Here is a 14,134-nt window from a genome sequence, read left to right as displayed (position 1 = left end):
TCAAAATACAAAATATTTTACTAACTGTCCCCTACAAGACCAAATTTTGATACAAATGAAGTGATGTCATATAATTTTTACTAAATTCCAGCAAACAATATGACAGAATCAGTACAAACCAGAACATAAACAAAACAGAAAGACTATAGTTATCAGTCTGATACCTAAATATTATTAAAAAAAACTACCTTCAAAATTAGGTACAATTATGATAGTTCAATTAAGTTCTAAAAAGTACACATTTTCAAAAGCAAGTCATTTTTATCTCTTTTTTTTTTTTTTTTTTTTGAGATGGAGCCTTGCTCTGTTGCCCAGGTTGGAGTGTAGTGGCACTATCTCAGCTCACCGCAACCTCTGCCTTCTGGGTTCAAGCGATTCTCCTGCCTCAGCCTCCCAGGTAGCTGGGATTACAGATGCCCACCACCAAGCCCAGCTAATTTTGTATTTTTAGTAGAGACAGTGTTTCACCATGTTGGCCAGGCTGGTCTCGTACTCCTGACCTCGTGATCTGCCCACGTCGGCCTCCCAAAAGAACTGAGATTACAGCAGTCGGCCACCGTGCCCAGTCTTATTTGATCTCTTTAAAACTTTCATCCAAGATGTATGGTTGTAAGTTGCTTACCTTGTCCATTTCCACTATTGTCAACATTAGCCAGACACAAACAGCCTTGATCAAATTCTTCTTTATCTCCCAGAATAGTAGACCACCAATCACGGGCTTTAAATAAAGACATTTTCTTTCACACTAAAAAGAAAACATTTATAATAATCTACTTCACACTATGAACTAATAATTATGTCTTAAGGCATAGCAAATTAAACTTGGACAGATCTGAGAAGGACATTTCTATATTAACTTTTTAATATTTTGTACACATATTTGAAACCACAAATCCAAATGGCTGGAAGCATTAATCAGATATTTTGCAACACCGTTAGTAAATTGGGCTGAGAAATTATACATTTATGTTGTGCTAATTCTCTCTTCTAAAACATTTAGGAGAGAACTGCAGAAAATAACAAAAGAACAGATTCTTTGGAGGATCAAGATTCAAATTCCATCAGCACTATTTAACATGTAAGTCTTCAGTGAAATACCTAACTTCCTTTCAGTCTAGTCATTGGCGAGACTGCACTAGAGTTGGCCCTTTGTACCTGTGGAAGATTGGTTCCAAGACCCCACAGATGAAAAATCCCCAGATGCTCAAGTCCCTTATTATATATAATGACCTAGTATACCTAGTACAGTCAGTCTTCCATATCCACAGGTTTCAATCTGCAGTTGGTTGAATCCATGGATGTGAAACCCGGGGACACGGAGGGCCAACTCCATCTCCTATTACAAAGAGTTGCTGAGACAAATGAGATCAAATGCATTAGTGACTAGCCCTGGAACTGGTATGCTATAGGTACTCAAAAAGCATTCACTTCCTCTTGCTATGTTAGTTATAGAAAGGCAAGATAGAAGAGGGAAATTCACACCAAAAAAGAAGCAGGAAAATTGGGCTGCAGGACCATTTATACCACTAACTATCCGTGTGTCCTTGGGCAACCCAAACAACCTCTCCTTACTTTGATTTCTTATCTAGAATGAGCATATACCAGCCCTACCTACCACTGAGTTGCTGATATGGCAGATGTGAAAGCACTTGGACCTTTTGAATTACAACACAGCATCACATGCCCTGGGACTCTACAACAGTTCATTTATTTAACATAAATGAGGTTTTCCTTCATGTTACACCGATTTAAATGGTAGCTACGAAGTGCAGTCAATTCTCCTTATTCACGAAAGTTATTCTGTATAAGGCCGCCATAAACAATGAATTAGCAAATACTGAACCATTGCTCCTAGGAGAAACACAGGGTTAGACAGATTCCTGCAAGCTTCTAGTAACAACATTTTCTTCAACCAATCAATACATAATGTAGTTTTTTGTGTGTTTCTATTTAAAGATACCTTATTTAATATGTATTGCTGATTCATTACTATGGGAATCATGCCCACCAGCACTAGAACTCAGGCTGAACTAACCTTATCTAATTTCATGTACAGATGCTTTTCAATTTATGATGGGATTACATCTCAATAGATCCATCATAAATTGAAAATATTTTAAGTCAAAAACACATTTAATATACCAGGGAAAAAATCAAAATTCAAAATTTGAAGTATGGTTTCTATTGAATGTGTATCACTCTCACAACATCCTAAAGTTGAAAAATCATAAGTCAAACCATGGTAAGTCAGGGACCATCTGTCTGTTCTCCACAAGATACATCACAGCCTTCTTGCTTTTAGGAACATTAGACAGCACTTCAGTATTACATTTGCAGACCATTTTAAACAGTGAAAACACCACATCCCCCTCCAAAAACAACCTACGAAAATGTGGGAGAAAACATGACACTAAATACTGTAGACCATGAAAGGACACTTGTTTACGGTATGAGAACTGAAACAAGAAAGCCATTGTTTAACATCAGCTGGGAACATGTGCATCAGGTGACTCAATTTTTACTCCTTTGCACTTGATCACAAATGACCACAAAAGCATCGCAAGCACTGATTTGGGGGTTACAAATAAATTTTAGCAAGTAGGCAAATTCACAAATGATACAGAGTCTGCCAATAATGAGGATCAGCTCTACTTTTTTAAAATGTAGACCAACCTGCCTCTTAAAGTAAGCATTCCACATGAGCTAATCATAGAAACCAAGGTCATTTGTTTTTATACAAAGTTGGCCAAGAAATTGGCTGTAAATAATGTGGTGGGAAAGTATAGCCTCTAGAGGCAACCTGTGTGAGTTTGAATTCCTGTGCCACCACATGTTAACCATGCAACCAGTGGAAGGTTACTAAAAGTTACTGAACATCTCTGTACTTTCGCTTTCTCATTTACAAAATAAAGGTAAGAGTGGTGTTGTGATGATTAAATAAGAATGCAGTTTCCTACAGAACTGGAAAAAATATGTGCAAGTCATATATATGATAAGGAATTAATATCCAGGATACATAAAGAACTCCTACAACTCAACAACAACAACAAAAACAAACCATCCCATTAAAAAATGGGCAAAAGAACCTGAACAGACACATCTCCAAAGAAGATACACAAATGAGCTGGGTGCGGTGGCTCATACTTGTAATCCCAGCATCTTGGGAGGCAGAGGCAGGAGGATCACTTGGGGCCAAGAGTTCAAGACCAGCCTGGCCAACATAGTGAAACCTCATCTCTACTAAAATACAAAAATTAGCCAGGCATGGTAGTGGGCACCTGTAATCCCAGCCACTCAGGAGGCTAAGGCAAAAGAACTGCTTGAACCCAGGAGGCGGAGGTTGCAGTGAGCCAAGGTCATGCCACTGTACTCCAGCCTGGGTTACGGAGTGAGGCTCTGTCTCAAACAACAACAAAAAAGATATACAAATGGCCAAGGAGCATATGAAAAGATGCTCAAAATCACTAATTTTGAACTGAAAATCAGTTCAAAATTTTTGATTTGCATATCAAAACAATATCACCTCACATCCATTATCAAAAAAAACAAAAATATATTCGACCTAAGAATGATGATTGCAAGAAGAAAAAAACACAAAATAACAAGTGTTGGCAAGGACATGGAGAAATTGGAATCTCTGTACGCTGTTGGTGGGAATATAAAATGGTGTAGCTACTATGGAAAACAGTGGGTAGGTCCCACAAAAAATTAAACATAGGGCCGGGCACAGTGGCTCAGGCCTGTAATCCCAGCACTTTGGGATGCCAAGGCGGGTGGATCATGAGGTCAGGAGATCGAGACCATCCTGGCTAACACAGTGATACCCCGTCTCTACTAAAAATATAAAAACTTAGCCAGGTGTGGTGGCAGGCGCCTGTAGTCCCAGCTACTCGGGAGGCTAAGGCAAGAGAATGCCATGAACCTGGGAGGCAGAGGTTGCAGTGAGCCGAGATCGCGCCACTGCACTCCTGCCTGGGCGACAGAGCGAGACTCCATCTCAAAAAAAAAAAAGTTAAACCTAGAAATTTTGATCCAGCCATCCCACTTCTTGGTGGATATCCAAAAGAATTAAAGACAATCTCAGAGAGATATTTTTACACACGGATTTACTGTATCATAATTCACAATAACCAAGAGGCAGAACCAACCTAAACATCCATCAATGGATAAATGGATAAAGAAAATGTGGTATACCCATACAATGGAATATTATGCAGCCTTAAAAAGGAAGGAAACTGACATCTGCTATGTAGATGAACCTTGAGGACATCATGTTAAGTAAAATAAGCCAGTCACAAAAAGACAAATACCATATGATTCCACTTATGTGAGGTACCTAGAATAGTCACAGAAACATTAAGAATGGTGATTGTCAGGGGCTAGGGAGAAAGGAGAACTGTTAATAGGTATATAGTGTTGACTTCGCAAGATGAGAAGTTCTGGAGATTGGTTGCACAATAATGTCAATTTACTTACCATTACTGAACTATATAGTTAAAAATGGTTAGATGTTCAATTTTATGTCACATTATTTTACCACAATTAAAAATAAAAAATATACAGTTTTAGTTTTTTACAAAAAGGAATACAGTAGACCACTTAGTACAATACCTGGCACATAATAAGCACTCAATAAGTGTTAGCCATTGCTCTGGTTTTGATCCCCTTTTATGATGTTTTAAACTTACATTAAAGAAAAAAACTCAGTGTTCTGGTTAAACACACTATGGTACATCTACACCATACCAATATAACTTGAGAATTTAGGCCAGGCGCGGTGGCTCACACCTGTAATCCCAGCACTTTGGGAGGCCGAGGCGGGCGGATCACGAGGTCAGGAGATCAAAACCATCTTGGCTAACACGGTGAAACCCCGTCTCTACTAAGAATACAAAAAATTAGCCGGGCGGGTAGTCCCAGTTACTCGGGAAGCTGAGGCAGGAGAATGGCATGAACCCGGGAGGCAGAGCTTGCAGTGAGCCGAGATAGCACCACTGCAGTCCGGCCTGGGCAAAAGAGCGAGACTCCATCTCGAGAAAAAAAAAAAGAATTTAAAACATAACTGACACTTGCAACTTGGATAGACTGCAAGAGCATTATGCTGAATGAAAAAAAAATCCAAAAAGCTAAAATATTAAATAATTACATTTCTAACTCTCAAAATGACAAAATCATACTAATGTAGAACAGATAGGTGGTTGCTAGGTTTACAGGAGGGTGTAACTATGAGGAGCTAATAATAAAAGGCAATTTCTTTGGGATTAATTTCTTAGAACTATCTACAAAAAAAAAGTGCATCTAACATAAAACCTGGTAAAATCCAAATCAAATCTATAGTTTAACTTTAGTATTATACTAACATCAATTTAATGGTGGGCTGGGCACGGTGGCTAACATCTATAATTAGCCTGGGCAACATAGGGAGACCCCATCTCTACAAGGAATAAAAAAATTAGATGGGCATAGTGGTCCATGCCTGTAGTCCCAACTACTGTCAGGAGTCTGAGGTGAGAGGATCAATTGAGCCCAGGAGTTCGAGGCTGCAGTGAGCTTTTTTGGGGAGTGAGGAATGGAGTCTTGCTCTGTCACCCAGGCTGGAGTATAGTGGCACAATCCCAACTCACTGCAACCTCTACCTCCCAAGTTCAGGCGATCTCCTGCCTCAGCCTCTCAAGTAGCTGGGATTACAGACACCTGCCAACACGCCCAGCTAATTTTTGTATTTTAGTAGAGATGGAGTTTCCCCATGTTGACCAGGCTGGTCTCCAACTCCTGACCTCAAGCAATCCACCCATCTCGGCCTCCCAAAGTGGTGGAATTATAGGCGTGAACCACCATGCCAGCCTGCAGTGAGCTTTGATCAAGACACAGCACTCCAGCCTATGTAACAGAGACCCAGTCTCTACGAAAAAAACAAATTTGATGGTTTTGATCACTGTACTGTTTTCATTGGGAAACCATTATTTTTGCAACTTCTAAGTGAGTCTAAAATTATTTCAAAATGATTAGTTTAAAAAAACAAATACCAGGAGAAAAAAGAAAGAAAATTCCATCCATAGTACTCTGCTTATGCTAAGAAAGAAGTTAGATAAACACTGGGAGTTGATGGAAGTGAACAAATATCTAACAGGTAAACAAATTTATCATGAGTTTCAAAATATGTGGGAGACTTTCTGAAAAATATTTGCACCATTTGTTATTACTAATGACATTATATAACCATACAAATTGTCAGATTACTAAATTTCAAATCTGGTAGCAAGCATTCAAAAAACATAATAATATCTGTATTACACTTTTATTGGATTTTTGAGAGGAAAGTAACAGTATTCAATAAATCCCATATATTCTCACTATATATGCCAAGTACCTAGGAGAATTGTAATATGCCATATTACTGGACTATGAGAATGAGGATACATCATTCACTTGCAGCTCAGAGCAAAATATTACCCAAATTCACACTTGAAATGCCAATGATTCCCTAGGAGGACTCACAGGACACAGCATAGTCATCTTCATGGCTATGAAGGATGGCTACGATAAAAGGATGAAAAGCATAATCAGGAAAGGGAAAAGGTGCATGATGGGATATCTGAAGAAAACCAGACACAAGCTTAGAAGACAAAGGAGTGGTACAGAGGTTAAGAAGAGGAGGAATCCGGCTGGGTGCGGTGGCTCATGCCTGTAATCCCAGCACTTTGGGAGGCCGAGGCAGGCAGATCACGAGGTCAGGAGATCGAGACCATCCTGGCTAACACGGTGAAACCCCATCTCTACTAAAAATACAAAAAATTAGCCGGGTGTGGTGGCGGGTGCCTGTAGTCCCAGCTACTCGGGAGGCTGAGGCAGGAGAACGGCATGAACCAGGAGGTGGAGCTTGCAGTGAGCCAAGATCACGCCACTGCACTTCAGCCTGGGTGACAGAGTGAGACTCCATCTCCAAAAAAAAGAAAAAGAAGAGGAATCTACCAGAAGCTTAACAGGGGCATTCACTGAGATCAAAACAAAGCCAGAAGTGAGTTATCTCGAAGGAAGTGGAAAAAAAAAATGTATCTAGAAAAAGGGAGTGACCAACTGTATCAAGTGCTCCTGATACACCATAAAGGATGAAGACTTGGAGGCATAAGCTCTATTGGGAGACATAGCTAAGGACAGAAATTAGTAGTAACCAACCAAAGAGTAAGTGATCCTCTGCTCACTCCTGCATCAGCCGGTTCAAAAGTCTCAAGGAGAGAAAATAAGAAAGTAAGAACTATACAACACTCAAAGGGGGTCTTACCTTTGCCTAACACAGACAGAAAAGAAAACTTCATGGGGCCTGCCTAGAGAACATACTAAACCAAGTAAAGGAGAAAGAGAAGAGATTTTTCTGTCAATGATAATGAATGATACATTTTTAAAAAGTCAAAATCCTCAGATAAGTGACCACAAGAGACAAAGCTGGAGTTTGAATATAAATACTGCATCAAGTCAAAGTAGCTATCCTATGAAAATGGCCTTAAAAACCTGTGAGTCAATAAATTTTTTCAGCTTGCTAGAATGAATACAAAAAATCCTCCAATATTATGATCTAGTGGGCTGTTAAAATAAAAAAGACAAAAAAAGAATCAAAAGAATCCTCCAATATGAAAGAACTTTCCAACAATGTCTACAAATAGGAATGCCTATAGAAGACATTCATTTCTCATTAACTTGTTTTTTTGTTTTGTTTTGTTTTTTGTTTTTGTTTTTGAGACAGAGTTTCACTCTTGTTGCCCAGGCTGGAGTGCAATGGCACAATCTCAGCTCACCGCAACCTCCACTTCCTGGGTTCAAGCAATTCTCCTGCCTCAGCCTCCTGAATAGCTGGTATTACAGGCATGCGCCACCACGCCCAGCTAATTTTGTATTTTTAGTAGAGACGGGGTTTCTCCATGTTGGTCAGGCTGGTCTTGAACTCCTGAACTTAGGTGATCCGCCGACCTCAGCCTCCCAAAGTGCTGGGATTACAGGCATGAGCCACCACACCTGGCCTCATTTCTCATTAACTTCTAACCGAAAATTAGAAATCTACTTGTACTGACAAAATAACAAAGGCATCATTTACATCCTTCTTGGCAAGGCACAGTGGTTCATGTCTGTAATGCCAGCACTTTGAGAGGCCAAGGCAGGAGAATCAGTTCAGGCCAGGAGTTTGAGACGAGCCTGGGCAACATAGCAAGACCCCATCTTTCCCCCCCACCAAAAAAAAAATATTAGCCAGTCTCCACTAGAGCCCAGGAGTTGAGGCTACAGTGAGCCATGATTGCACCCCTGCACTCCAGCCTGGACAACAAAGCCAGACCCTGTCTCTTAAAAATATATATATCATTATTGTTTCTCCTGCTCTATCAATTTTTCCTTATTCACCCACCACTTCGTTAGCTCCTGAAATCCCCCTTTTCACAGAGTTTGGTCCCTTGCTACTCCAGGTGTAATCCCTGGATCAGCAGCATCTGTATCACTCAAAAGCTTATGAGAAATGTTGAATCTCATCCTCCCCAAACAGTATCTCCAGGTGAATCACATGCACCTTAAGGTTGAAGAGGCACTGATGTAACTGATACCTGATTGCCTAAGTGGATATTTTCTTACAGCAGAGCTCCAGTTTTCCCCTTCTTTTTCAGAGGACCTCTGCCGTCCGTTACCTTTTGAGGGCTTAAAAAAAATCATTTTTCAAATCAAAGACCTAAAACAGCTGGAAAGTATCCATCAATCAGCTGGTCCTCTCATTTTATAGGAGAGGCCCAGATAAGTTACATGATTCCCATACCTCACACAGCTAATTGCAGGACCTTGCTTCTGCATACTCTCTCCCTCGTCTCTAGTCCCCTGCCTCATTAGGCTGCCAATAATCTGCAATTTAATATCAAAAAACTGAAAAAGCATGTGGATAGAATGATTTTTGTGTTGTTTGTTTGCTTTATTTTAATCTTTAAAGACTGTGGAGGAAGGGCTAATTTTTAAACCTATGTCCAACAAATGGCTCTTCCTCACAAGACCATGGCTACCTTAATTATTTCAGAACAACAATATTTCAGAGCAACAACAATGACTTTCATGCCAGGGCAAACATAAGGTCATGCATAGCAGAATTTCATAAATTCCATTACATAAACATCTTGTATGTTTGTTCCCCCAATGTCCGAAGTGTTATCATGCACCATTGTAGACGATAATTTATTGAACAATAAGGACTTACATCTTTAAAGAATTAATGAACAATAGAAAAAAACAACAATTTGGGCTGATAATCAATAGTCATCATTTGTTTCCCAAGTGCGTCTCTCCAGTTTCAAAGGTAGAAGCAGAGAAGGAGCACTGCCCACTCCCAAGAAATTAAGAAACCACAAACTCTCATCAGTACAAAGTTGGGATACCACTAATTTCCTTTGATAAAAAAATGGGTGGATTTCAAAAGACAACTTAGGCAGCAGTGATGGCAGCCACTGCGAAGACACTGGCTGCAGCGGGGGAGGCATGGCAGGGGCTGCCCACTCTGCGGAGCCAGTGGGGGCTGGGAACAGGCAGGAGCCCCGCCCCCTACCAGGTTGGAGGGCCAGGAGCCCTGCGCTCCTGGGCACATCTGCAGCTACCCAATCACAGCTCCAGACCCAAGCATCCCTGCACTGTCGGGGGCCCGGGAAGCACCCCTGCCCCTGCAGTTTGGAAGTGCCCACTCCCGCTCCCTGGCCTCTCCCAACTCCCAGTGCCCACTCCAATTTCGAACCAAAGTTGAAGCCGAGCCCAGGTGCTGTCGCAACCCGGCCAGGTGTGTGTGCGCTCAGGGCAGTGCTGATACACCAGTCCCCTAACACCTCGGTCCCCTCCGGACTCTGGGCACCGACAGCACAGGAAGGACACCCAGGAGGAGCTGAGGGCTTGGGTATAATCCACTGATACACCCAAGAACAGAGGAGACCCTCTGCTGACTCAAGAAGAAATAAAAAATCTAAATAGATCCATAATAAATAAAGAAATTGAATTAGTAATCAAAAAACTATCCACAAAGAAAAGGCCAGGCCAAGACAGATCCACTGGTGGACTCTACTAAACAATTAAAGCAAAATTATCCCAATTCTTCAAAAACCACTCCAAAAAATAAAAGAGGAGAGGATACTTCCCACCTCATTTTATAAATCTAATTACCCTGAGCCAAAACCAAACACATCACAAGAAAACAATAGACCAATATCCCTTATGCATATGGATGCAAAAATCCTCAACAAAATACTACTAGCTAATTGAATCCAATAATATATAAAAAGTATTATATAACATGACTAAATGGTGTTGCCTGAGGAATGCAAGGTAGGCATCCTTAACATCCAGAAATGAGTTAATGTAAAATCAATACAATCTAAATCAAAAGCCACTTGATCACCTCCATAAATCCAACTCTTCCATTATAAAAAAACACTCAAAACACTAGGAATAGAAGGTTCCTCACACTGATAAAAGACATCTATGCAAAATCCACAGCTTACATCATACTTAATAGTGTAAACCGAACACTTTCCTCCTAAGATCAGGCACAAGACAAGGATGTCTGCATTCACCACTTCTATTCAAAATCATACTGGATGCTCTCAACTATAGCAATTAGGTAAGAAAAGGAAATAAAAGGCTTCCAAATTGGAAAAAAAGAAGTAAAACTATCTTTACTCACAGATGACATAATCTTGTATATAGAAAATCCTAAGGAATTTGGGAAAAAACTATTAGAACTAATAAATGAGTTAAGCAAGGTTGCAGGATATAAAATAAATATACAAATATCCATGATATTTCTATATTCTTGCAATGAACAATCCAAAATGAAATTTTAAAAATAATTACATTTACAATAGCACCCAAAAGAGTAAAATACATAAGTTAGCCAGGTATGCTGGTGCGCACCTGTAATACTAGCTACACAGGAGGCTGAGGCAAGAGGATCACTTCAGCTCAGGAGTTCAAGATTACAGTGAGCTGTGATCACACCACTACACTCCAGCCTGGGCAACAGAGAAAGACCCCATCTCAAAAAACAAAAAAAAAAAGAATACTTAGGAATAAATTTAACAAAAGAAGTGTAAAACTTATACTCTGAAAACTATGAAAACATTGTTATAGAAATTAAAGAAGATCTAAATAAATGGAAAACATCTCATGTTCATGGATCTGAAGACTCAATATTGTTAGGACGGCAATACTTCCCAAATCAATCTACAGATTCAATGCAATCCCTATCAGATTCCCAGATGGCTTCTCTGTAGAAATCAACAAGGTTATTCTAAAATTTGTATGGAATTTCCAGGGACCCAGAATAGCAAAAACAATCTCAAAATTAAAAAAGAACAAAGGTAGAGAACTCACACTTCCCCATATCAAAACTTACTAAAGCAACAATAATTAAGCCAGTATGGCACTAGCATAAGGATAGACATAAACATAAATGGAAAATACTGAGAGTCCAGAAATAAACCCATACATCTATGATCAACTGATTTTCAACAAAGGTGCCACGATCATTCAAAGAGTAATTGCAACAAATGGGTCTAAGATGACCGAATAGTGACATGCAGAAGAATGAAATCGGACACTTACCTCGAATAATATTTTTAAAATTAACTCAAAATATGTCAAAGATCTAAGTATAAGCTAATGTATAGCTAAAACTATAAACTCTTGAAACTCTTAGAAGACTATATAAATAAATCTTTATGACCTCAGATTTGGCAATGGATTCTTAGATTTGACACCAGAAACGTGAGCAATAAAAAATAAATAAGGGCAAGGCATGGTGGCTAATGCCTGTAATTCCAATACTTTGAGAGGCCAAGGCAGGAGGACTGCTTGAGCCAGAAGTCTGAGCCCAGCCTGTGCAACATGATGAGACCCCATCACTACAAAAAATATAAAAATTAGCCAGGTGCAGTGGTGTGTGCCTGTAGTCCCAGCTACTGGGGAGGCTAAGGTGGGAGAATTGCTTGACACTGGAAGGCTGAGGCTACAGAGAGCCATGATTGCACCACTGCACTCCAGCCTGGATGACAGAGCAAGACCCTGTCTCAAAATAAATAAATAAAGCCAGGTGCAGTGGCTGACGCCTGTAATCCCAACACTTTGGGAGGCTGAGGCAAGGAAACTGCTTAAGCCTGAGAGATTGAGAAGAGCCTGGGCAACAAAGCGAGACCGCATCTATACAAAAAAGAAAAAATAAGCTGGGCATGGTTGTGTGTGCCTATAATCCCAGCTACTTGAGAGGCTGAGGCAGGAGTTTGAGGATTGAGCCCAAGAGTTTGAGGTTGCTGTGAGCTAAAATCATGCCACCACACCTCTCAGCTTGGGCAGCAGAGTGAGACTCTATCTCAAAAAAACAAAATAAATGAATAAAGTAGACTTTATCAAAACTAAAAACTTTTAGGTTTCAAAGGTCACCATCAAGAAGATGAAATGATGGGAGAAAATATTTGCAAATCATGTATCTGATAATATACAAGAACTCATACAACTCAGTAATTTAAAAAAGTCAATTAAAAATGAACAATGGGTCTGAATAGGTATTTTTCCAAGTAAGATATACAAATGGCCAATAAGAACATAAAAAGATGCTCAAGGCCAGGCGCAGTGGCTCACGCCTGTAATCCCAGCACGTTGGGAGGCCAAGGTGGGTGGATCACCTGAGGCCAGAAGTTCGAGACCAGCCTGGCCAACATGGTGAAACCCCATCTCCACTAAAAATACAAAAAAAAAAAAAAAAAAAAATAGCCAGGCGTGATGGCAGGTGCCTGTAAGCCCAATTACTTGGGAGGCTGAGGCAGGAGAATTGCTTGAACCTGGAGGCAGGGGTTGCAGTGGGCCAAAACCACACCATTGCACTCCAGCCTAGGGAACAAGAGCAAAACTCCGTTTCAAAAAAAAAATGCTCAGCATAATTAGTCATTAGGGAAACACAAATCAAAACTATGAGATATGACTTCACACCTACTATGACAGAATCGAAGTCAGATAGTAATAAGCATTGGTGAGGATGTAAAGAAATCAGAGCCCTCATATACTGCTAGTGAGAATGCAAAACGATGCAACCACTTTGGAAAGGAATCTAGAAGTTCCTCTAACACTTAAACACAGAATTACCATATGACCCAGCAATCTGACACTGAAGTATCTATCCAAGGGCAATGAAAACATATGTGCATACAAAAAAACTTACACATAAATGTTTATAGTAGCATTATTCATAATATCTAAAATTTGGAAACAACCCAAATGTCCATCAGCTGATGAATATATAAACAAAAGGAAGCATCCATACAGTGGAATATTATTTGGCCATAAAAAAGAAAAGAACAAAATACTGATATATGTTACAACATAAATAAATAAAAGCATATAGGTTTTAGAATCAGACATATCTGGCTCTTAAAAACATGCTAAGTTAAAGAAGCCAGTAACAAAAGGCCACCTATTATATGATTCTGTTTATATAAAATATCCAGGATAGGCAAATTCATAAAGACAGAAAGTAGATTCTTAGTTGCTTAGGTCTGGGGGTAGGGGAGAAGGAAGAGAGAAGGAGAGTTATAGCTAAGGGATGCGAGGTTTCTTTTTGAGTTGATAAAAATATTCCAAACTTGGCTGTGGTAATGGTTACATGTATCTGTGAATATACAAAAAAGGAACTGAATTTTATGTGTTAAATGGGTGAATTGTATGGTATTTGAATTGTATTTCAACAAAGCTGTTTTTTTTTAAAGATAACAAATGATGATGGATACATGGGGGTTCATTTTGTTATTCTTCATGCTTTTGGTTATGCTTCAAATTCCCCATAAACTTTCATTTTTTTTTAAAGCAGAACACTCCTGTATTTTGGCCACATTTACCATTAGGCCAGGTGTGGTGGCACACACCTGTAATCCCAGCACTTTGGGAGGCCAAGGCGGATTGATCACTTGAGCTAAGGAGTTCAGGACCAGCCTGCGCAACATAGTGAGACCTCATCTTTGCCAAGCATGGCAGAAAAAATAAAAATTATTACAACTTTTTTAAATATTAAAAAAAGAACAATAGCAAATTAAATTCAGAAGGTCAGCAAAATAAATTCTGCCCTTTCTCCTGGAAGACA

The 14,134-nt window shown here is 39.7% G+C and overlaps 1 protein-coding gene across 19 annotated transcripts in view; it reads right to left on the bottom strand.

The window, feature by feature from the left end:
* Positions 1-14,134, bottom strand: part of BBS9 (Bardet-Biedl syndrome 9) — a 506,483-nt gene that overhangs the window by 488,781 nt on the left and 3,568 nt on the right. For 15 of the 19 annotated variants that reach the window (NR_145412.1, NR_145411.1, NR_145413.3 and 12 more), the window contains exon 2: positions 623-745. The exons of the other annotated variants lie outside the window; for them this stretch is intronic. Coding sequence is in view for 9 of the 15 variants with exons in the window: in NM_001348036.1 (NP_001334965.1) it covers positions 623-734 (112 nt within the window). In the remaining 6 variants the exon portion in view is untranslated. The remainder of the gene's footprint in view (positions 1-622; positions 746-14,134) is intronic. 19 annotated transcript variants of the gene reach the window in all.

The sequence above is a fragment of the Homo sapiens genome, chromosome 7, assembly GCF_000001405.40.
Source record: "Homo sapiens chromosome 7, GRCh38.p14 Primary Assembly".
Lineage (NCBI taxonomy): Eukaryota > Metazoa > Chordata > Mammalia > Primates > Hominidae > Homo > Homo sapiens.
Note: the sequence above shows the minus strand (reverse complement) of the source record. Positions and strands in the feature narration are given on the sequence as shown.